Below are 26,167 nucleotides of genomic sequence, written 5' to 3' on the forward strand. Positions count from 1 at the left end.
AAAGCCAAAATAGGACTTTGTGTGTGTGTGTGTGTGTGTGTGTGTGTGTGTGTGTGTGTTTGTGGTGGGGTGTGGGGGGGGCAGTGACAGTACAGGGTAGGACAGCAAAGAATGTAGTAGTATAGTTTTAAAAGTATTGGAAGCAGAATCATAAATATCTAGGTTCAAAACATGCCTCTGACACCAATTAGCTTTGTGGACCTTAGGCATGTCACTACATCTTATGGAACTCCATTTTCTATACCATTAAAATGAGGGTGGTCATTAAATCTGCTTGGATAATTTTAGAGAGCTGTCTCAAGAATCAAAAGAAGTAATTCTGACAGCAAGTTATAAACTATAAAGAGCTCTGCAAAAAGGTATGGCATTTGTAATGATAGTGACCCAAAGAGGGAAGCAAACAAGTTCCCTGCACTACCAGCCCTGTTCTTGTCAAAAACGATGTAAGTCAAGTTGCTGCCAGATCAATTCCCATTCAGACCAGGACTTGGGACAGTGATCACACACGTGATTTAGGACCTCAGTTTTCTGATCTTGCCTTAATCACTATCTCAGATCTAGTGCAGCCTCAGGGAAGTTAGATGTGAAGTTGACTGTTATGGTCTGAATGTCTTTGTCCTCCAAAATTCATATATTAAACCTAATCCCCAATGTGACAGTATTAAGAGGTGGTGCCTTTGGCGGTGATTAGGTCATGAGGACTCCACCCTCATAAACGGGATTAGTGCCCTTATAAAAAAGGCTTGAGGGAGCGTGTTCATCCTTTGCCCTTCTGCCATGTTAGTATGCAGCAAAAGGGTGCCATCTTTGAAGCAGAGAGCATGGCCTCACCAAACACTGACCATGCTGACATCTTGATCCTGGGCTTCTCAGCCTCTAGAACTGTAAGCAATAAATTATGTTGTTTGTAAATTACCCAATCCAAAGTATTTTGTTATAGCAGCCGGAACAGACTAAGACATTGCTTCAACAGGAGCAGGACTTGAGTAAGGATTTGGAAAATGCCAATTCAAAAGTGAAACCTGGTTCAGAAAAATTTTGAGTCTTGACAAAATATCCTGGGACGATGGGGTGTGGCACAGGGATAATAGTTTGCCATTTACTAATACAGTGAAGGAGAAAAATATGGTTTGTGGGGGTATTTTCCTATTTCCAGCTCTGAGTTTTACTTTATTCCAGAGAATGGTGACTTTCAAGTAAACACTCTAGTATTCCTCAAACTTCAGCTGCCAAGGATAGGCAGTAAATTGTATTGGGAATTTGTACAGCAACTTTTGTTTTTAAATGATCAAGTTAGGGAAAACTTTATATGCTGGGGCCAGTAAAGAAAGGGCTGGGAGCAGTGGCACATTACCACTTTGGGAGAATTCCGTTTGTCTAATTAGCCCAGGAACTCAGACTACTCTAAGTCTGAAAGTATATTTGTGTTGTGTGTATGTGTGATCATTTGTATGTTTTTATCTGTATATTCATGGATTTATATCTGTATGATAGTATGCTTCTGCCTGGTTCTTTTTGTTACCTTTTGTATGTGACTGAATCTGTATGTATGTCCTGTTAACATTTGAGTTTGTGTCTGTATGCACATACTTATCAGGGTTCTGGGATTATTTTAAGACTTTGGTAATCTATGGACTCTTTCTTATAGGATAAGCCTGTGAACAAAAGGAGGTGCTTGTTCACTGAGAAAATTACAGGCTAGACTGGAATTTGCTCTGATATTTAAAGGCTGCCCCCTCAATCAATGCCTCCTTTCTATTCCCACACCAACAACGCATGCTACCTTCTGATTGTCCCCAACTCCTACTCAGATCATTTTCCCACAGAGATAGGGTTCTGTTGAGGGATGATTGGGACAATTCCACACCTTTCTTTTGAGTGAGTGGAAGATGAGGTGTTACCAGAGCAGGGGGCTTTTTTCCCCATCCCAGCTTCCCTTCAGTTATTGAAGAATTGCAGTTCTGGCCTCAATTATTTTATGTTTACCTGCCTGGAGGTCTGCTTTCCATCCTTTTAGGCAAGTTTCAGAATGGGGCACAGAGACTGAAATTTTGGAGAAAGGCTTGCCTCCTTCAGAGAAAGTCTGTTGTTGTAGACTAGAAAGTATTAGTTTGGTGCAAAAGTAATCGCGTTTTTTGCCATTGAAAGCAATGAGATCTAGTAGTGAGAAATTGAATTAGTCAGCAATGCTCGTAGGCTACCTTGGAAACTCAGTCCTACTCCTGTGTTCCGATGAGAGGGCAGGGGTACTTCCCTAGGTGGGCCTCTGATTCGTTTATTCAGCAAATATTTGTGAAATACCTATTCTGCATAGCTCCAGCTCCAGGAGCAGAATTATCCTTTTGACAGGATCCTTTGAGAGATAATGGCTAGGAGCAACTTGTGGTAGGAATTGCAAACCAGGCCATGGGGGAGAGCAGTGGACTTCAAGACCCCACAGGAAAGGTGGAACTCTGTGCAGTTCCTTAATCCCCAAAGATAAGACTGTTCAGAGGTCATGGTTCTGCTTTTCTTTCTGCTGTTGATTCCAAGTTGGTTACCCCATAATTGGTGAAACCTGTGGGTTCTGCCTTCCCTTTCGTCCCTCCCTTTTTCCCATGCTTCAAAGCCATTTTATGAAACTCCTCAGGAGCAACAGTACTTGAACCACAAGGTGCTTTTATGAACTGCAGCCACCCAGAGTCTGAATCCCGCCCTTCACTTCTGTTAATGCAGGGTTGAAAGTGGCTTTTTCTTTTTCTTTTTTTTTTAAATTTATTTATTTATTATTATTATACTTTAAGTTTTAGGGTACATGTGCACAATGTGCAGGTTAGTTACATATGTATACATGTGCCATGCTGGTGTGCTGCACCCACTAACTCGTCATCTAGCATTAGGTATATCTCCCAATGCTATCCCTCCCCCCTCCCCCCACCCCACAACAGTCCCCAGAGTGTGATGTTCCCCTTCCTGTGTCCATGTGTTCTCATTGCTCAATTCCCACCTATGAGTGAGAATACGCGGTGTTTGGTTTTTTGTTCCTGCGATAGTTTACTGAGAATGATGATTTCCAATTTCATCCATGTCCCTACAAAGGACATGAACTCATCATTTTTTATGGCTGCATAGTATTCCATGGTGTATATGTGCCACATTTTCTTAATCCAGTCTATCATTGTTGGACATCTGGGTTGGTTCCAAGTCTTTGCTATTGTGAATAATGCCGCAATAAACATACGTGTGCATGTGTCTTTACAGCAGCATGATTTATAGTCCTTTGGGTATATACCCAGTAATGGGATGGCTGAGTCAAATGGTATTTCTAGTTCTAGATCCCTGAGGAATTGCCATACTGACTTCCACAAGGGTTGAACTAGTTTACAGTCCCACCAACAGTGTAAAAGTGTTCTTATTTCTCCACATCCTCTCCAGCACCTGTTGTTTCCTGACTTTTTAATGATTGCCATTCTAACTGGTGTGAGATGGTATCTCATTGTGGTTTTGATTTGCATTTCTCTGATGGCCAGTGATGGTGAGCATTTTTTCATGTGTTTTACATTTATGCAGCCGAAAGTGGCTTTTTCTGAGCCAGCTCCTGAGGAGTCAGAAACACCCACACTTGGGAGATAGGACACCTTGATTCTGGTTGAATCCTTGCTGCAGAGCCAGAAAAATGTAAGTATTTCCCTTTTCTAGCCATTGAAGAATTACATGTGAACAATCTTTAAGGCCTCTTCTGCTCTGGAATTCTATGATTACTTCTAAAAATGATTGCTTCAAGCCACTTCAATCTGCATTACCAAGTGCTAGAGACAACGTGGAATAGATGTACTCTCTGAGAACTAAAGTTCTTGCCATTTACTTATAGATTTGAAAAGGAAAGGAGCTGACATTTATTAAGTGTATTATGAGCCAGGCACTCTCTTATATTGTCCATTATTATTTCAATAATAATTCATAACCTGAAGAAATTTGGGGAGGATAAAGTGAGTGCTTATGTGAAGCAGAGTACAATGCCTGGAAGGAAGTCTGCACTCAGTAAATGTCATTCTCTGGCTCCTCCTTCAGCTCCTCTTTTACCCAGCTCCCAGCCTTTAAAGAGATAAAGAAACAGAAGCTCAGAGGGATTATGTAACTGCCCAAAGTCACCCAGATTTTCAGCTGCAGGGGCCATGTGTATCCTGTTATATTACACTGCCTCTGCAATGTGAAGTCTATAGTTATTGCCCCTATAGTTATTGTCCCTTGCTTGGAAACCTCCTACTTTCTGGCCCAGTTCCTCTTTGTGATCCAGGCCTGTGTTTGGGAAGTGGTCACCCAGAGATTTCAGGTGCACCACACATTTCCCTCTGCAGTATTATAACTGGTCCCACAGAGCGTGAACACTCCATATAGACATTGTTAACTTCAGACTCTCATTCTTGGCCAACCATCCCTTAGGGCAGTCCTCTGCTCACCGAGGCAAGGGTTCTGTGGAAACTCTGCCCTCCAGCTCTGTTCCCCTGACACAGATATGGGAAGATGACCATATGGGGGAAGAGCCAAGGGGTCATTTTCAAATAATAGAAAAGGTAAGTTTGCTTGCTCAGGATTGAATTCAGAAAATCATATCCTTGGCTGGCAGAATATTGAGCACTGGAGCAAGAGTGGAGGGTGTGGGAGTAGCTACGAGAAGAGATGAGGATGAACACTGACCCCAGCGAAGGAAGGAGGTAGGCTGGGAATTGCCTACTGAGAGGTATTGTCATTGGCCCACATATTAGTAGAGTTGAACAGGGGAAGTTGCTGAGCTGAATGACAGAGGACTGATCTTAAAGGCAACTTCATGCCTTGAAGATAATCTTCTTATGAAATCATTAAGTCCATTTGTTCTACATTAGGCTTTCCTGTGTTGCCCTTTATTTAGCAGAAGGTACCATGGAGTTCTATTTCTAGTAGTAAAGGTGATTTTGCATGGATCATGTCCCACTCTGGTCTAATACCCAGTGTGCATAGAATAATCCTGGGTTTAGGATGGCATCGATGTATCTTTTGTATAAGATTAAGCAGGTGGTTCAGAAATGCTATTTCGTGGTAGCTAGACTTGGTGGTTTTTTGTGGTCCCTTCCATCTCCAGGGTTACTAGCATTTTTGAGCTCTCTTTCTTTCTCCCCCTACCCTCAGCCGCATTCTCCCTATCTCCTCCTTACACAGGGCACTTTCTCTCCTAGGCTACAGAGGGCAGTCCACCTAACAGAACCCTACTGCTGGGGACCAACAATCTGGGCTCCCTAGTGGTGTACAAGATGATCCAAAATCTATTGCTTTGCATACAGTAAAACATAGTTTGCCTTCTAGAAGTAGCACAATATTCTGGAAAGAGTGCAGGCTTTGAAGACAGACAAACTTAATTTTCAATCCAGATACTGCCATTTCCTAGCTCTATGATGGCTAGCACAACAGTTGAACCTCCTTGAGCTCCATATCCTCATCTGCAAAATTGGGATAATCCTGGTTCTCATCTGCTAGTGGTGTTGTGAAGATTTACTGAGACAATTTATGGAAAGAATTTAGCTCAGTGCTTCACACAGAGTATGTGCTGAAGGCATGGTTCTTGAATGAACGAGTGAGTGCATATTGGTGTCATTCTTTCCCTTCCTCCCTATGATGAAGTGCTGTTAAAAGGCTTCTGCTCTCCTTTAATTAAGTGGTAAGAGCATGGATATAGAATTCAGCCAATTCAGGGACTGCTGTGTGATCTTAGTTAGTAGTTAAAAAATTATCTGAGGCTCAGTCTCTTTATGCATGAAATCTGGATAACAAGGCCAAGTGTGCAGAGCTGTTGTGACGATTAAAGGAAACAATGTATGCGATAGCACAGGACCTGGAACGTGGTGCGTAATTGATAATGCCAGGTCCTTTACTCTGCCTACCCCTAGGCACTTTCATGTATGTGGGCTCATTTAGTTCTCAGAACAACCATATGAAATACGTATTATCATCATAATGAGATAATGTATGTGGAAGGCACCTAGTACAATATGATGCAGGTGGTCAGTAAGTGTTTGTTTCCTTCCCTTTCTTTTTCTTCATTAAGACAATTATTATCCTGCCAACAATCGTGCTTTCGCATGAACTATGAATATTTTAAAGAATGAGGTGCTAATCTTATATCGTTATCAATTTAGAAGGCAGTCTGGACCCCTGGCTTATAATCAAAATTATGTTGATTTTAATAAGATGACAAAAGATCACAGAGTTTATAGATATAAAGTGCTTGCCTAATTCCTGCCTTGTTATGGTAAGTTATGAATAGATTAATTTGATATTTCAGAATGTAACAGTCATTAAGAAAGCATTTTCATGTAAGTTATAGTTTTACATATTAACGCCATACTTTCCTTAGCATCTAAAAGTACTGTTCTTTACTTACCATGAGAAGGAGAAAGTTTTGGATCTGTATTTGTAGAACTGGGGATTAGTTGGGGTTGAGTTCTTTTGACTTGAAACTGATCTCTTACCTGGTTTCACACCTTACCCTCTATTATCTTCTATGTCATGTATTAGAATATGATTTAGAGAGGGCCAAAGAGTGGGTAATATTTGCAAGGCAGAGAGCTTTATGGTGAAATGAAATCTCATCTGATCTATGAGCAAGTTACTTCACATCCTTTTTCCTTAGTTTCATTATTGGCAAAATAAGTATAATATTAACATTTACCTGACAGGGTTGCTTTGAGGATTAAATAGGATAAGTTATGAATAAATAAGTTAATTCATCTAAAGACTTTAACATAGAGTTCACTGTGTAGTGGACTCAATAAATGTTAACAGCTGGCACTGCTATGGCCACCACCACCACCACTTCCACCACTACAATGATAATGATGTGACCATTATCTTCAAGCACTACAGAATGGTTAAGGAATTGGGTATTCTGTCTCATGAGGTACTTCAGTTCTCTGAAGGGTAGGCTGAGAACTTTCTTAATTTCAACTCCCTTTTTAAAATCCCTCCAAGGGCTCTGTGTCCATATTGCTTGAGTTACCATGGAAAGTCTGGGATCAACATTGATTCTTGATACACTAAGGCTCTTTCAGGGCCATAGGTGGATCATTCATATACTGTTACCATTGTCCAAAGCTTCAGCTGTAGAAGGTGTAGGAAACTGGGCTGAATGTTATTTGAATGCAGAGAAGCCCTTGAAAATTTTTGTAATTTGAATTGTGATCATTTCTATTTTAATTTTTCTTAGTTCCCACAAAGCAAACTTTCTTAGTTTTGTTGAGTCTCAGCTGATCAGAATTTTATAAGAAACTTTTTCCTGTCTCTAAATAAACAAGACTGTTATATAGAGAGATTTATCTAGGTGTCATGCATATTCAAGGAAGTAGGGAAAAGGCAATACAACTAGGTTTAGTGAATTCTCTTTTGAATACTGACCAGTTGTTTGGCTGTTCTGAAGACTAAATTAATACAGGTAAATTTCCTAAGTGGCATATCGATGGCTCAGGTGGGAATAGTGAACCTGGATGTGTTGTCCGGAAATTTTCAATAAGTTACAGACCAGTGTGTGAGCTACAGACCAGTGTGTGAGCATGACTTTACTGACAATAAAAATGGGAGGTAACGAGAGCCATGGACACTTTTGTCCCATGAATTCTCAAAAATGAAATGATGAGCGGTTCAAATAATCTGTGTGAATGCAGAGGGCTAGACACTAGTGGTCTCTTATGGTTTCTTCTACCTCCAGGGCCTTAAGATTCTAGAATGCTTTACTCCAGCACCAATCTTTCTTTAGATGGTTTTCTTAGAACCACCCCTCTTCCTTCTTCCTTCCATGCCTTATATTCTTTATATTCTTCCTTCCCAAAATATTGTACTGACTGCACACTAAATGCCTAAGCACTGTTCTAGGCATTGGAGTACAGAATAATAAAGAGAAATGCTCCTCAACTCTCATGGGTTCGGCAATTTCTAATATTCTGGGATGTCCCTGACCTGATGGTAGGAAAAAGATGGCTCCTCAGTCATGGTTGAACTTTATTTTGTACATACGCAATTCCTTATAAGTGAGTTTTTTCCCCCTTTTCTTTGACTTGCAGGTTTTGAAATCTTGGACAAAAGGAACATTTTTTAGAATGCAAGTGACCAAGTTGAGGTGGCATAGAAGTGAGGCTGAGGTGCCTCTGACACAGCCTCATAGCTTAAGCAGCTCAAGGTCTCTCCTGCTTGCTATGCTCACCTGGATTATAGAGAGGGGGTGGGATGTGTATAATTAAAATAAACCATCAAGCAAACAAGCAAACAACCAAACAGGATCACAAGGAAAAACAAAATTCAAACCAAACTGAAAGACAAAAAGAAAATAAACACACAAAACTCCTCTTTCCAGTGGGCCCCACAGAAAGTTTCTTTCTTTGTCTTTGAAGGGCTCAGTCCATTTTTCTTTTAGTTACTTGATTTGATATTGAGGCTGCAGCATTAACACCTGGTAATTAAATAAATGGTCAATCCACTAGCTTTGTCTAAAAGGGAACTTAGGACCAGGCTGCCTGATCCCCACAAGCCCCCTCCCTTGCAAAAACAAACAAACAAACAAAAACAAAAAAGAAAAGATTCATCTTGGCGTCAGTTACTGACACTGGTTCCCAAAAGGGAGGGTGTTTGTGAAATGCCCTTCTGGAAGAATAGAGGAACAAAGCTAGGTGTTCTGTCGGTGTAAACTGGAAGCAAGTCTCAGCATGCTGGGACTCAGCACGCTGGGGCTCAAGGCACGCTAGCACCATGGGCAGGAGTTGGAAACTCCAGGCTGTTGTGCTTAAGAAAAAGAAAATTTATTATAGAGTTTCATCCACTTATTCATGAGTACATCAAAAGGGTATTAAGCGCTGACTAGAATTGGGAATAAAAGAGTAAACCCAAACATCTTTTCACTTTTCTGGACTCAACAAACATCATTTCCATATGTTAACAACCTCCAAAGGGGACCATAGCCATCAGTCAAGTAAACAATAATGTTGAGAACAAAAATGTGAGTCCACTGATATCATACTTTTCCTCTTCTTTAAGAGATTCTTAACTGACTGACTTGTTTTTTTCTAGCCCAGAGAAGAGAAAACCTAGATGTAGGCGTAGAATGGGACCTAAATATCTCTCTTCAATTATCTGAAAGGCTACATGTAGAAAAAGAGTTAGATCTGTTATATAAAATCAATGAGCAGACCAGAGATGAATGAGCAGAATTTAAAGAGATTCTAATTTTGGTTTATTTCTAATAATTAGAGCTTATCAAATGAATAGGTGGTCTTGGGAGCCAATAATAAGAACAATAATAATAGTGATAATTGCTATTGTTATTTTTAATGTATTTTGTATAGTACTTTAACTTTGGAAACACTGTGCCTCATTTAATCCTCAGTACTCATTTTGTATATCAGTCAAGGCAGATATCATTCTCCTGATTTTAGAGATGAAGAAACTGTGTCTCAGAGAGGTTAAGGATATTACTTCAGGTCACACAGCTAATATGAGATAAGCTGGAATTCAAATCAACACCTGTTGATTGGTTCTGAGGGAGTGATTAAGGAAGGACTCCCTTCCTCAGCTTGTTTCAAAATGTAAAGAAGCTGCCTTCAGATAGGAAGAATCAAATGGCAGCTCAAACTTCCCGTGAAGCAAGGGACATTTACCAGGCCACAGGCCAGTGTAGAACTGTGCTCTGCAAGCCAATCTGGATGAAAGTGAACTATTTTATTTTTATTTTTATTTTTTTTTTTTTGAGACGGAGTGAAAGTGAACTATTTTATTTATTGCCATTTCTATTTTAAGGCTGTGTTCTCTGATTTCAATGTAAAAATGTAGGTCTGGGCTGGTGGATGGCATCATGTACACCATTCTCTGTTCATCACAGCTGCAGTCACACTGTCTCCTGTGTACACTGATGTATGTTTGCTTGCACATATAAAATTACTTTCCTGGGACTGCAAACACAAACCAGGCTCACAATTTGCCTAATACAGTGAAGGTTGCAAAAAGAAGCATATTTTACCATTTCCTGCATAAAAAGAAACAACAGAATTAATTCATTTGATTGACTTGCCCATTTTTCCCAGTAGTTTTCTCGGCATGGGGAAGACAAATTCTCCACGAGTGAAGACTGTATGTGTGTGTGAGTATGTATGTGAGGGCCACCCTATAGCAAGCCCTGTTCTAAAACTTGTCCTTTTCTCTTAATATGTTTTCCAAAGTTCTGCTTGATAATTATGGATTGTATCTGGAGGCCCACTCGCTAAAAGCAGGTTGAGTCATAAGCAGGTTGTAAGAGTCCAGGAGACCTGCAGCGATGACTAAGAGAGTCATTATTTGATGAAAAGGGGAAAATAGGTGTTGGTTTGAATGGAAGGCTGGGGGAGCATGACGGACTTCTTGAGCAGGGGAGAAAAAAAACCCACTTGGAAGCTAGCTGGCAGGGTGAGTGGGGACCGGAGAAAACCGGTCTTGTGCAGTAAGACTTGCTGCTGCATTTTAATCACATCTCGATGTGACTGTTTTTTTTTCCCCCCTCTTTTTGTTTTTTCATCAAGAAAGAAAGGACTCAGAGAGAATTCAGCAGTAACCTAGCTCTTTAAACTTTGGACTATACTCTGCTCTCTTGCACATTTTAAAATTGACACCTAGAAATTTTTCATCATAAATTCAAGTAGATGCAAATACCGTATACTTTTTGTCACCTTGTAAATATTGAGTTTAAATTAAACTCTTGCATCACTCTTTTAACTTCTTCAATAGATTCTAAGTACCATAGTATTTTTATATCCATTGCCACCCATTAAAATACTAATGGAAAAGGTCTCTAACAGTTGGATATTTAACACCATTACCTTTTCTTCTTCAACTCACATTTCCATTCACTTGCTCCACAGAGTTTTATCCTAATATCTTTCATATTTTTATGTGGAAAAGGCTTTTCTTGTTCATCCTATTATGTATCCCAATAAAAATATGTATATAAAATGAAATGAAATTTTAAACCAAATTTTTCTGTGACCAGAAGTCTCCAAAGTGTTAAAATAAATAAGTAAGTAAATAAATAAGTGTTACGTAGCCCAAAAGTGACAGAGTAGTAATTAGAATCTAGGACTATGCTCTGACTTCCAGATCTCATCCACTCTGCTCTGCTCTACTCTGGAACCTCAGAGGAGAAAGTGAGCACAGCCATGGTAAGATTCAAGATGTCTGATAGGTAGTCCTTTCTCTTATAACGTAGGAGGAAGGTAATTGTGAAAGGAGAGGGGAGAAGGGAGGAACCAGAATGACTACCTAACCTCAAGCAAATATTGCCAAATGTCCCCTGGTGGGGCGGGGAGGAAACAAAATCACCCTCAGTTGAGGATGCATACTCCAGTTTGAACATTGATTGCTTATCTATCTTATTAGGAATGTGAAAAAGACCCAAAGCAGTCAAATGTATTATTTGCACTTTATTCAGGAAAAGGGCAAAATCTGGTTGTTTGTTTAAATTCTCTTTCCAGGGTGGGTGCGGTGGCTCATGCCTATAATCCCAACACTTTGGGAGGCCGAGGTGGGGGAATCACCTGAGGTCAGGAGTTTGAGACCAGCCTGGCCAGTATGGCAAAACCTCGTCTCTACTAAAAATATAAAAATGAGCTGAGTGTAGTGGTGCACGCCTGTAGTCCCAGCTACTCGGCAGGCTGAGGCAGGAGAACTGCTTGCTTGAACCTGGGAGGCAGTGGTTGCAGTGAGCCAAGATAGTACCACTGCACTCCAGCCTGGGCAACAGAGTGAGACTCGGTCTCAAATAAATAAATAATCTTTGCACATGAGTGGAGAGGGGGTTGTTGAATCCATCTCAAAGGTTTTGGGGCCTGATCAAACATTGGATCTCAAGGGAACTAAAATTAGATGTAAACATATCAGGGGAAGGGAAGAATGGAGAAGAGGAATGAAGTCACAAACAACAGAAATCATAATGAAAGCTGCCATTTACTTTGTGTCAATTGCTCTGCTAAGTGCTTTACATGGAGTATCTTGTTGAATAATCATAATAACCTAGGAGGTAATTGTAATCATTTGTTAGTTAGAGTGCAGGTTAGGCTGTTGTAACAAAAAGACTAAAAACTTTCAGTGACTTAGACAAAATAGAAATACATTTATTTCCATGAAAGGGCCAGGTAGGCTGTTCAGGGTTACTGTGGCCTCCAGGCTGCTTCTGTGCTGTTCCTCTGCAATTTCAATCCCCAGCTTCTATCACATGGTCCCAGATGGCAACTCTGGATTCTGCTATCAGGTCTGCATTCCAGCCAGTGGGAAAGATGAAAAGGGGAAGGTGAGAATATATACTTTTCTTCTAAGGGCACAATCTAAAAGGTACAAACCTCATTCCATTTATACCCTATAGGCTTGACCCATCTTGTAAAAGTAATGTGGACTTTAGCCAGGCAGCCATGTATCCAGCTACAGGGGCAGGTAAACTACACACTGAGGTCCAACAACCTCTTTCTGGTAAATGAAATTTTAATGGAACATAGCCACTCCAATTCTTCTATGTATCATCTATGCTGCTTTCTCAAAACAATGGCATTCTTGAATAGTTGTGACAAAGACTGGGTCGCAACAGTCCACAAAGCTTAAAATATTACTCTCTGGTCTTTAAGAAAAAGTTTGCCAATCTCTGATAGAGAACAAGAAGGGAATGGATATCTAGAGACACCTAAGGGGCCCTGTCAAGATTCTTATTTAACAAATGAGGAAACAGAAGCACATAGAGGTCCCATAAAAAGTCCCAAGGTCACATATGGATAAGTGGCAGAGCTGAGATCTGAATGTGGTTCTGTTTGGCTCCGAAGGCAAAGCACTGTTCGCTATATCATACTGTCTCACTAATTCATATAGCAAATATTTATTACATCTATTCTGTACCAGGCAATGTTCTAGGTGCTGAGGATTCAGTGGTGAATAAAAGAGAGGAAATATCTGCTCTCATGAAGTCTACATTAAAGGAAACAGACCATTAGAAATAATTAAGCAAAATATATTATACCTCAGAGGTGATACGTGTTATAAATAAAAATGAATCAGGAAAGAAGGGAAGACAGTGACAGAGTGTGGTAGGGATTCATTTTTCAAACAAATGGTTAATTATGGCCTCAATATTGGAGAAACCAAGGAGAATGAGTCTGAGCCAAAGCTCTTGAGAAGGAGGCAGGAGCCTGAGTTGAGAACACCCAGTAAAAACCCAGAGTTCCCCCTCAAAAGGGAGGTTAAACCAAAGGTCAGGAGCTGTACAGGAACTGGAGCCAAAAGAACAAAGACAGCAGTGTGGGCACCCATGGCTTGTGTGTGGTGTGTACACTGTGGTAACTGGTACAAGTGGGTGTGTAGGAAGAGAGCTTGCATAAAGGTACACAATTACACAGAAGAGTTTGCCTTTAATCCTTTTAGACAGAATCCTAAAGACTCTTTGCATGCAGACAAAAAAAAACATGCATGCACAGACGCACATACATGTAAATATAATGAGAGCAGGCAGTAAGTCAGTGCGATCTATGGAAAGATCATGGTTGTTGCAGTCCCGTGGAACTGTGAATCTCAGCTCTGCCGCATGCTGTTTTGATGACTTTAGGCAAATTGTTGGTACTGTTTTTAGTCACGATTTATTGAGTGTTTTGTATGTGGCAGGCACTTTATATACATGATTCATCTAATCTTTACATAACTCTATATAGACAGATGCTTGTAATATCTTCAATTATTTTCAAGTTAAATTAAGTGGTAAAATTAAGTGGTGATAGGTGACAGTCAAGAAGTAATGAGAAATGTACAATTTTCTTCCTGTGCATTTATATTGCTTTATTTTATTTAAGTATAGTGATTAATAATCTTGGTTAATGTTTCCGTGGGCTCATTTTTATTAAAAATTTTGTATTTTGAAAGTAAAAATATTTAATGCTTGTTTAGTGCTTACTATGTGTCAGACACCATTCTAATTACTTTACATGTACTTCTCAAAACAAAACTGTGAGGAAATACTCTTATGCGCCTCATTTTTTTCTGAGATGAGAAAACAGAGGCACAGAGAGGTTAAACAACTTACCCAAGGTCACACAGCCAGTAAACAGAGAGACTGAGATTTGACCCCAGGCAGCCTGGCTCTGGAGTTCATGTGTTTAATCATTACACTACATTGCCTTACAAAACAGACCAATAACCATATTGAATGAGAAGACATGCTAGCTTCTCTTTCACTTCTGGTGATGCATGTGGAAAGCCTGGTTATTTGTACTTTGTGATCTAACCCAGGGCCACTACCTCTTTAGTGTCAGCACATCTGAAATGGAGACCAAGTCCCACGGAGCGAATATTCCACTTCTAGAAGACTAACCTGGGAAACCCAAATTTAAAAAGTGATAGTAAAGATGACAGCATGTGTGCTCTTTGTAAGTGTGACTACCTACAAATGTGTGTGCATGCGTGTGTGTGTGTTTAGATGTGTACATGTGAGTCTAACTAGTAGTTTTAGATGTCAGGGGCTAGCCTTTCTCCCCAGGAGCCTAAAATCCAACTTTTTATGGAGCAAGATTTAGAAATAAGAAACCCTTATTTTGTTTCAGGATATATACCTGGTTTTCCAGAATCTATTTTCTCTCTAGAGACCAGTTCTGCTTCCTCAGGCATGTAACTACCAAACAAGCATGGATGCTCCAGTAACACCAATGAAATGATTCTCTGCTTCAGTCCTAGTGTATCAGCTCTCATTTCATGCTCCGATCAAAAAGGCCAAACATAATTTGCTATCTGGCCGGCCTCTTCTTCGAATTGTCAGCATTTAGTAAGGATTTTCTGTGGGAATATCTTCTGTCCAAAATGGCATAGAAGATTCCAAACATGGGCTCTACATGTCACCTTTGATTGTGAATTTGGGAGCCTCAACTTGTTACCAGTACAATTGTAATCTAGATGGCTACTTTAGGGATGAGGATAGATTTTTCACTGAGCCACTCCTTCTCTCATTTAGTCTCCTCATCCCTATTCCATACCCTAACCAGATGACAGGTTCAGCTGACTTCTAGAAACAGTTTTCTGAGGAATAATTTAACTGGCTATGATGAGGACCAATCCGCAAGAAATGCCCTCATCAGCACAGTGTTCTAATCACTGATAGAACTAGACTATGTGGAAAATCTAAGTGGTAGAGTGAGCTGACATATTGGTATGGAGAAGCTGACATTTCATCAGGAACTATTGACTTCTGTGGGGCCAGAAAATACCACTACGGTGGTGACCGAGTTTATCATACTGGGGTTTGGAGACCTCAAAGAATTGAGTCCCTTGTCCTTCCTGGTGTTTGGGGTTACCTATGTAGCCATCTTTTCTGGGAATCTTCCCCTCATGGTACTGGTGAGCACTCGACGGAGACCTCACACTCCAATGTTGTTCTTTTTGGTGAACCTCTCATGCCTGGAGATCTGTTATACAACCAACATTGTGCCCAGGATGCTGGTGGACCTGTTGACGGAAAACAGAATGATCTCTATGGTGGGTTGTATCATTCAAGCCTACTTATTTTTGGTCCTGGGCAGCACTGAATGTTATTTACTGGCAATGATGTTATATGATGGGTATCTGGCTATCCATCAGCCCATGCATTATTAAAAACTAATGCATGGAACCATGTGCGTGGGGATAGTAAGTGGCTCATGAACAGTGTAAGCTGCATTCCAGGCTGCTATGGTATCAAATTTGACCTTCTACGGTGGCGATGAGGTTAACCATTTATTCTGTGACTTGAAACCTCTGCATAAGCTCTCCTGCTCAGATCTCTATCTGGTCAACCTAGTCTGCATGAGTCTAACAGCTCTGTTGACCCAGCTTCCTTTGGACTAACCCTAACCTCCTACTGGAGGATTTTTTCAATGGTGTTGCATATACCTTCCATGACTAGTAGGCAGAAGGCATTCTGTACTTGCTAGTGGTTGTGATCTTGTTCTATGGGATCTTGATCCTGGTCTATGCTGTGCCCTTGGCTGGCCAAGTGCCAGCTCTCAACAAAACCTTCTCCTTGCTCTACACCATTGCTGCTCCCATGTGTAATCCCCTTATCAACAGCCTCAAACACAAAGATGTTAAAGAGGCTGTGAGGAAGCTGAGGATTTGATCCTACAATGATGAGGTTCATACAACTGACAAAAATTAGGGCAATCTGGAGGTCAAGGCAATGTTTTTGTCCTCAAGAAATTTCCAATCAGATTAGAAAAACACAGGATAGGTGGGGCGTGGTGGCTCATGCCTGTAATTCCAGTGCTTTGGGAGGCTGAGGCAGGCAGATCACCTGAGGTCAGGAGTTCAAGACCAGCCTGGCTAACATGGTGAAACCCCGTTTCTACTAAAAATACAAAAAATTAGTCGGGCGTGGTGGCACGCACGTGTAATCGCAGCTACTCGGGAGGCTGAGGCAGGAGAATAGCTTGAACCCAGGAGGTGGAGACTGCAGTGAGCCGAGATCATGCCATTGAACTCCAGCTTGGGCAACAGGAGCAAAACTCCATCAGAAAAAAAAAAAAAAAGAGAAAGAAGAAAAAAAAAAGAGAAGAAAAGGAAAAACACAAGATAGATTATAATTTTTATAACCTCAAATATTGGATAATTGCCAAATATTCTGATTTTAGGGGAAGAGTTGTTACTAGTCTCCTTGAAATAATCTAGTTTTTCTTGGGCATATTTATATTGCAAGAGGGGAAAAGTACTTTTGAGTTTATGGGAGGTAAACCATTCTGGGATAGATAATAAATAATTGCTCCACACAATCCCCCAAAGGTGCAATCTTGGAAGTAGGGATTGGCAGGTAAACTTTAATTGTGTTCAGTTTCATTTTTTAAAAAAATCACACCTGGAGGTTCTGGAGGTGGAGGAAGAGTGATAACTGTGTTACCCTCATAAGAGAGGAGAGCTCCCTAAATAAATAGTCCATGTTTATTTCCTTCACTGCCTAGACTACAGTTCTGGCTATGAGGCTATGATAATAATTTTGGACTTCTACTTGACCTGAGATTAAAAAGATAAAAATTGAATCTAATAGAACATATGGAAACCCACCAGTAGGCTAGCTTTGGAGAAATGTGCATTAAGCACTTATAGCAATTTGTTAGACATGTGGATTGCCTCACGGCACTTTTTTCGAGATTGCATTTTTTTTCTAGCATTTACAGCTACCTGCTGCATTTTCATCTATTTATTTTTGTTCCCCTCCCAGGTCCTTTTCCTGCTGTGTACCTGAGTTTACCTCGCTGGCTTCACTTGTGCTTCTGTTTCTTATTTTCCTGTTACCAGCTACCTAACATTATCAACTGATATATTCAAGCTACACTCCAAGGGAGAGTAAAAGCAAAAAGAGTCTGCTCTGAAAAGCAGATAATGCACTTATTAATTTATTCAAGCAAAAATATTTATTGAGAGCCTAATATTATCCAGTCATTGTGCTAGATGCTAGGAAGAGAATAGTGAACAACATAGATACAGCTTCCAACCTCAAAAATGGTAAAATCTGGTGGCCTTAGTGTTCCAGTTGCTCGGAATTTATATTTTTACATTGTTTATATAATATGTAGATCTTGAAAGAATCATTTCTAAAGAGAATCTCTGCATGTCAAATCCCAATATTGTTATTTACCTTCATTTTAAGAGTAACTATAATAATTAATGGGAAACAACCTTATGTAAAGACCTAATAAATCTTTTAGTAGAACATGTAAACAGAGAAATACTCAGAATGTCCCTCGTTGAGCTAAACTCACCCTATTTTGTCCTTTAAGATTCAACTCCAGTCCTACCTTCTCTTTGAACCCTCCATGAGTATGCTGCTTATGTCATTTCTCCCCCTGAGAAGTGCTTTATTTCTCTTCATCTGACATGTAGGATGCACTGCTCTGCACTTTTTATATATGTGTCCTGTCTTCTCATTAGATTGTAAACCCTTAAAGGACAGAGGCAGAAAGTTGTTTCTAGCTGTATCCTCAAGCACCCAGCATAATTCCTGTGCACACAGTCAGTGTTCGATGACCATCTTCACAGGATAAAATCCAAGATTCTCAGCATGAAATTGAAGGCCTTCTATTACTCTGTTCTTGTCCCTTTCTGCAGTCTCATCTCCCATCAGGCTGCAACTCACAATTTGCCACATTGTACCCTGTGCATCCTTATTCATGCCCTTTGCCTGGAAAATTCTGCCCATATTTATATTTCACCTGGCTAATGCCCCTCATCTTTTAATACTCAGATCCATCATCATCCTCTCCAGCAGGACTTGCTTGACCGTTTTCTCCTATCCAATACACTGAAGCAAATGATGCTTTTCTGTGTCTCTACGGGATTCATTGTAGATATAGTTTAATAAATTATTATTTTATCTGGTTGTTTGCCAGTGTCTACAGTGCCTAGGAGAATGCTTGGGATGTGGGAGCCACTCAATGAATATTTTTTGAGTGAATGGCTCAATTGTTTATGTGCCTTCCTCCCTCACTAAACTATTGTTATTTCCTTGTCATCAAGTACCACCTATAGCCTGACAATCCCTCAATAATTTAACACTGTGATAAATGTTATGAAGGAAATGTATAGGAAGGTATATAACAAGGTTATCTAATTTGGATTGGGTTAGGAATATCAGATAAGGTTTATCTGAAGTTATGACATTTGAACAGAGAACTGAAAGATAAACAGAAATAAGCCAGGCAAAGATAGGTTATAAGGTGAAGGGGGGTAGCAGAGGATTTCAGTGGCAGGACTAGCTAGCAACAAGGTCTGCTGTGGAAAAGTTCTTAGAGTGATTGGGAACAGAGAAAAGGCTAGCATGGTTAGAATGCAGTGATCAAGGGAGAGAGTATCATAGATGGGACTGGGAAGGTAGGCAGGAATCAGATAATGCATTGCTTCACTAGATTTCTTTGTGAGATTGGAATTCTTGAACAATTTTTAGTCGAGTGACATGATCCATTTTATGTTTTAAGATCACTCAGATTGCTACATGGAGAACAACTGTTGATGGGACTGGAGGGCTAATAGATGTTTGGAAATCAATTAGGACACTATTACAATGTTACCGGTGAGAGATGATGTTGGTGTGGACTAAGAGTAGTGGCAGAGATGGAGAGAAATGAATTGAAGTTGATATATTCAGAGATAGAATTGATATCTATCTATCAATTCTAGATAGGTTTGGTGATGGATTATAGAAGGAAGCATCAATAATAACTTTCTGGTTACTAGTTTGTGAATTGAATACATGCTTACACCACTCACAGGGATGGGAGACTCCTGGGATAGGGCCAGATTTGGAGGAGAGAAGTAATGATCACATCAACTTTGTGCAAGAGTATTCCAATATGGCAGTGGCTGTCAAGTAGGTAGTTAAATATACTGATCTGGAACTCAGAAGAGACATCTAGGCTAGAAATACAAATTTAGATGCCATCAGCATGTAGGTGGCATTTAAAAGCATGAGAGTGGGTAAAATCATGTAGAGGAACAGTCCAGACGGAGAAGAGAACCCAGAATGGAGCCCTGAGAATTCCTCTTTTTGAGATCATGTAGAAGAAAAATAACCAGCAAATGAGGAGGTGATAGAGAGGTAGGAGAAAAACCCTGAGTGTATAGGTTCATGCAGGTAGGGAGAGGAGAATGTTTTAAGAAGGAGAACTTAGTAAACTATGCTGAAGACTGTTGAGGGGAGGAGTAAGCTGAGGACAAAGACGGGTTCATTGTATCTGATAACATAGAGGGCAGTGATGACCTCAGTAAAGACACTTTTGGTAGAGTGATGAGTGCAGAAGCCATATTGGAGTGAGATAAAGAAATGAATAAAAGGTGAAGAAGACACTATATGTAGATAATTCTTTGGAGAAGCCTGGCTCTGGAAGAAAATAGATTTGATGAGAGCTGGAACAAGAAGCTTAAAGGAAGATGTTTGTTTTACAATGTAAATAAAAGAAAATGTTTGAATACCGTTAGAAGGATTCATTAAAGAGGGAGAAGTCTTCATTAAAGGGGTCTTCTTTAAAGACCCGGCACTCTCCACGCTTGGCTCTCATTTCATTTCTCCACTTGGTTTGCCCTGTGGACCAAGGTCCCTGGGAACCTTGGGTATGCTTCCCCCGCCCCTACCCCAAATCAGCAGTCCCCACTTCAGGCAGCTTCTCATGCATCTGGGTTCCTATTGTCCCCAAGGGAACTGGATGCACACCATGCAAAGCCCTCCAGTCCAACCCTGTCACCTTGCTCCTGCCCCCATGGAGCCTAGCTCTGCTAGGACTAGTGCTTAACTTAGCCTAAGCAGGCTCATTAGGTCAGTTTCAAGGAAGTAGTTCTGGCTAGAATGAACCAAAAAACAGGTGGCAGCTTTGGCAGGAGGATGCAGTGGAGACTACAGGTTGAAGATGCAGGGATATGGATGTATTCCCTGCAAAGGCAGGAAGGCCCATGGTCCAGAGCACATGTGAAGAGTGTGTCTTCTGATCAGAGTGACACTTACACTGTGACAAATATGTACTGAACACCTACTATGTTCTTGGTTTTATTTCAAGTCCTAAGGATCCAACAATGAGTAAATCATGATCCTTGCCCCCCATGGAGCTTGCAATCTGATGAGAGAGATAAGCAATTAAATAGACAATTATAATTAGGTTGATTAATGCTATAAGCACAGGGTCCTGTGGAAGCACTAGGAAGAGGCACTGTTATGGGTTGAGTTGTGTCTCCCAAAGAAAGATATGTTGGAGTCCTAATGCCTAGTATCTCAAAATGTTGTCTTATTTGGAGGTAGAGTCTTTGCAGAGGCAATCAAGTTAAAATGACATCATTAGAGTGGGCCGTAATTCAATACAACTGGTGTCCTTATAAAAGCAGAAATTTGGACACAGACACAGACACGCACAGAAGGAGAATGCCATGTGAACAGGAAGAGACTGGGAACATAGAAGCCAAGAGACACCAAAGACTGCCAGCAAGTCACTAGAAGCTAGGAGAGAGGCATGGAACAGATTCTTCCTTACTGGAACCAACCCTGCCTTGATGTTAGACATCCAGCCTCCAGAACTATAAGAAAATGAACTTATGTTGTTGAAGCCACTCAGTTTGTGGTACTTTGTTATGGCAGTCCAAGAAAACTAAACCAGGCATTTAAACCTATTCAGGGTGTGGTGGTCAGGTTAAGGGAAGACTTCCCAGAGTAGGTGTTATTTGTGCTGAATCAAGATAAATAAGTAAGATTTCATGGGTAGAGCCTGGGGAAGACATTCCATGTAAAGCGATCATAGTTTGCAATATCTAGGAAGTGAAAGGGAGTATAGATGGCTAAGCTACTGCAAGTAATCCAATGTGTCTGCATGTAGAGCATGTGGGCAATGGTGGTAACAACTGAGACCTGAGAAGCTGGAGCTTCTATTCATGAAGGGCCTTCTATTCCCAGCCAAGGAATTTGGACTTTATCCTGAAGCCAAGTGGGTGGCCTTTAAATGTTCATTCCCCCCTCCACTATTCACCCACCTTACTTCATTTTTCCAGGAAGCCTTCTCTTACATTTATTGTGGCACTTCTCACACAGAACGATAAACAAGAATTCGCTTCTTGGTTTCTTCCAACACATAGTAAGCTCCTTGAAGGCTGAGATGATGTCATGTTTGCTGAGATAGATATGTCCAGTGCCTGGAAAGTGCTTGGCATATAGTAGGTCCTCAATAAATGATTGTCTGGTATGTTATTTGTGACTGCATTGGGATTTCCTGGATCTCTTCAGGGTGATATTCCAGGACACGCCACATTTTCCCTTGACTCTGCTCTCCTCTTCCTTCCTCTCACGGATGACCCAGCACTCTCCACGCTTGGCTCTCATTTCATTTCTCCACTTGGTTTGCCCTGTGGACCAAGGTCCCTGGGAACCTTGGGTATGCTTCCCCCGCCCCTACCCCAAATCAGCAGTCCCCACTTCAGGCAGCTTCTCATGCATCTGGGTTCCTATTGTCCCCAAGGGAACTGGGTGCACACCATGCAAATCCCTCCAGTCCAACCCTATCACCTTGCTCCTGCCCGCATGGAGCCTAGCTCTGCCAGGACTAGTGCTTAACTTAGCCTAAGCAGGCTCATTAGGTCAGTTTCAAGGAAGTAGTTCTGGCTAGAATGAACCAAAAAACAGGTGGCAGCTTTGGCAGGAGGATGCAGTTGAGACTACAGGTTGGGGCAATGAAGTGGCTGGGTTTGACAGGTAGGTAGGGTCAGATAATCAGAGCAATCTCCAACTAAGCCAAATTTGACCCATGGGATCCCCGTTGAAGAAGGCAAAACAGAGTACTAAAAAAGGAAACCAGGAAGAATGATGGTCAAGGCAAGATGTTAGGCAGAAACCATGTGTTTTGCATTAGATTACATTTTTTTTTTTTTTGAGACGGAGTCTCGCTCTGTTGCCCAGGCTGGAGTGCAGTGGCATGGTCTCATCTCACTGCAACCTCTGCCTCCTGGGTTCAAGTGATTCTCCTGCCTCAGCCTCCCAAATAGCTGGGATTATAGTCACCTGCCCCCACGCCCGGGTAAATTTTTTGTATTTTTAGTAGAGACGGGGTTTCACCATGTTGGCAAGGCTGGTCTCAAACTCCTGACCTCATGATCCACCTGCCTTGGCCTCCCAAAGTGCTGGGATTACAGGCATGAGCCACCATGCCCTACCAGATTAAATTTATTTTTTAAAAATGTACATCCTGCACCTGTTGTTTCCTGACTTTTTAATGATTGCCATTCTAACTGGTGTGAGATGGTATCTCATTGTGGTTTTGATTTGCATTTCTCTGATGGCCACTGATGATGAGCATTTTTTCATGTGTCTTTTGGCTGCATAAATGTCTTCTTTTGAGAAGTGTCTGTTCATATCCTTCGCCCACGTGTTGATGGGGTTGTTTGTTTTTTTTCTTGTAAATTTGTTTGAGTTCATTGTGGAGAGGATGTGGAGAAACAGGAATACTTTTACACTGTTGGTGGGACTGTAAACTAGTTCAACCATTGTGGAAGTCAGTATGGCGATTCCTCAGGGATCTAGAACTAGCAATACCATTTGACCCAGCCATCCCATTACTGGGTATATACCCAAAGGACTATAAATCATGCTGCTATAAAGACACATGCACACGTGTGTTTATTGTGGCACTATTCACAATAGCAAAGACTTGGAACCAACCCAAATGTCCAACAATGATAGACTGGATTAAGAAAATGTGGCACGTATACACCATGGAATACTATGCAGCCATAAAAAATGATGAGTTCATGTCCTTTGTAGGGACATGGATGAAGCTGGAAACCATCATTCTCAGCAAACTATTGCAAGGACAAAAAACCAAACACCGCATGTTCTCACTCATAGGTGGGAATTGAACAATGAGAACACATGGACACAGGAAGGGGAACATCACACACCGGGGCCTGTTGTTGGTGGGGAAGGGATAGCATTAGGAGATATACCTAATGTTAAATGACGAGTTAATGGGTGCAGCACACCAAAATGGCACATGTATATATATGTAACAAACCTGCACGTAGTGCACATGTACCCTAGAACTTACAGTATATTAAAAAAAAAGACCAAAAAAAGTACACCCTTTAATGCCAGGCATTTCAACAAGCATAAACACACTTCAGCCTGAGCAATCTTACACACACACACACACCCCACAGATGCAAAGTGATGACACACAGACCCACGCCAGCACTGGCAGAACTAAGTGTGGAATGGTTGGCAGATACTGTCACACCTGATCTGTTTGCAATTGGCAGGGAAAGTGTGATTCTCTTTATGTGTGCAAGTACCAAATAATAGCCTCATTCATTCAAGTAGCCAAGTACTTTTCACTGTAATTGTTTCAAATGTATAGCTTTCTGTCTTGTAATACCAAGTGAACTTGATACAATTTAACTTTTTCTGGATGATTCCAGGACATCTTTATGCATACTAATTACTGTGGGCTGGGCTGAGAGATAGAGTGCTGTTAAGTGCTGTCTCGAGGTGTATTGGACTCTATTGCTCCACGAAATGCCTCAGTGTAAATATCCTATTTACACAGAGACACATTACCCTTATATATGCACAGAAACACATAGGTATAAACACACACACACACATATCTTTCATGTAAATGTCTCCATACAAAATGCATACACAAATCATACTGCATAGACACACACATTGAAGTTACTCAAAAGCTACCTATACACTCTTTGCAGCTAGGTTCATAAGTAACTCCCTTTCCTATAGCCAATAACCTGCTTCTTTTGTCATTCTCCTTTCTTCCTTTGCATGCTAATTATTGGGATTAAGGAGTTAGCACCTCATTCACTGAGTTGATGGTGTTAATTGGTCGCATCTGACTTAGTTAAAAGAAGGCATTTTGACTACAAAGAACTTCACTGGGAGATGGGCATAGGGCGAGTTATTAAAAGCAAGTGCATAACAGCTCCTTGGGAGGTCATTATTTTGTGCTTCTCCCCCCACCCCCCAGAAGTATGTTTATTATTGGTAGCAAGGTGAGAAGAAATTCCCTGACTTCATTAGAAACCCAGAAAAAGAACTTTTATTTGCCAATATCTTACTTTCTTGCTGGAACACATTTCTTCTGGAGGGTGCTATGGCAAAATGGCCTGGCCCAAGCATACTTTTTGTCTAAAGGGAGCGGTAACAAACTCCCTGGGGCTTCAGGGCTCATCCTAGACAATACTCCCGCCGCTCCCCGCCTCCACACTCACACACAGCAAAACAGCCACCTCATTAACTCAAAGTTGGAAGTAACTCAGACACCACCAAACTACTTGTATTCACGTGTGCACCACCTCAGGGAGGGGAAAAGAAAAGTTTCACAAACATTTGACTAGTATCTATTTTATATGCATATAAACAATGTGCTCATCAAAAACCTTTATCTGTTCATTGAGCCAGGCTGGCAGAACCCAGTGTGACATGCCTTGGTTGGCGGATACTGTAACACCAGATCTATTTGGCATTGGTCAGGAAGGAGATGTTTGTAAGTGCATGTCCCAAATAATAGAAGTGTCCCTTGCAGTACTAATTGTTTCAAACGGATAGGTCTCTGTGTTTTCATGCCAAGTGAACCTGACACAATTTGCCTTCTTCAGGTTGATTCCAGGCCATCTTTAAGGACATTAATCATTGGGTCGGGCTGAGATGTGTAGTGTCTTTAGGAGCAATCTTGAGGTGTATCAGACTGTTTAATTATCCAGTAAATGGCCGCAGGCTGTTTTTTTTTTTTTTTTTTAAGAACTATTCTGTCTTATATCTAAAGTTTTTACTTACTGATAACATTGTTTATGCCTCCAGTAGTCCATTGACATTTTCTCTTCTATCCTAGGCTCAGAAAATAAGCTGAGTTACAATTGTGTATAAAGTAGGATTGTGAACCTTAGGGGGTTTTTCTACAAGCACTCTGGATGAGGTTTGGGGCAGAGATTTTGTATCATCTCTTTTGGCTCTCCTAAGGTCTTTAAAGGTTATTTATTAGTTTTAGCTCTGTGAGTACTAGACAATTATGATTTCCAGGAAGGGGACCTTTAGATAAGTAATATATCAGTGTAGTTAGGGTTAGTATAGATAAAGTAAACCTTATTAATTTGGACTTCACTAGCTCATGACAGGGGACTGCTTTATTTATAGACTAGGCTTTGGAGTTTACCATTCCACCAGCTACAAAAAGAAAGGATATGCTTGGTAAACTAATACCTTAAACAAAATTACAGGGGTAATATAGGTTTCATTTACATGTGAAACATTGATTATATTTCTCTATTTATTAATATTGATGCCATTAAGCCATCTACTTGATAATACAATTCATTGTTTATATTTGGAGGTAACAATAGCAAACAATAACATCTCAATTAATCAATCCATTAAGTAGGAATTTCATTTGATTAAAGTTAGCCTGAGTACACAGAGACATAGAAGACTAATGGAAGCTCTCAGTCCTTGACTAGCAGCAGTGGCAGCTGAAGAAATGAGACAGCCTAGCTAGTTTCTTTTAATGGAGGAAGCTAAAGGTCTGTAGTATCTTCAGCTCAGCAATAACCAGTGTAGGGTCAAATCCCAAGGAAACAGAAGTACACTTGCAAACTTGAGTGAGCCACAACCTCCCCTTGGAGT

At 40.7% G+C, this 26,167-nt stretch overlaps 1 pseudogene, besides 2 other annotated features; it reads left to right on the plus strand.

Moving 5' to 3' along the window:
- OR11Q1P (olfactory receptor family 11 subfamily Q member 1 pseudogene) lies at positions 15,224-16,172 on the plus strand (annotated as a pseudogene).
- Positions 23,633-24,412: an enhancer, noted in NCBI's record as "OCT4-NANOG hESC enhancer chrX:130346479-130347258 (GRCh37/hg19 assembly coordinates)". NCBI's record gives its function as "activates a minimal SCP1, AML or CMV promoter by ChIP-STARR-seq in naive H9 embryonic stem cells {active_cell/tissue: H9 hESC(naive)}" and the evidence as "EXISTENCE:reporter gene assay evidence [ECO:0000049][PMID:30033119]".
- Positions 24,413-25,190: an enhancer, noted in NCBI's record as "OCT4-NANOG hESC enhancer chrX:130347259-130348036 (GRCh37/hg19 assembly coordinates)". NCBI's record gives its function as "activates a minimal SCP1, AML or CMV promoter by ChIP-STARR-seq in naive and primed H9 embryonic stem cells {active_cell/tissue: H9 hESC(naive and primed)}" and the evidence as "EXISTENCE:reporter gene assay evidence [ECO:0000049][PMID:30033119]".

Source organism: Homo sapiens, chromosome X (assembly GCF_000001405.40).
Source record: "Homo sapiens chromosome X, GRCh38.p14 Primary Assembly".
Taxonomy (NCBI): Eukaryota; Metazoa; Chordata; class Mammalia; order Primates; family Hominidae; genus Homo; species Homo sapiens.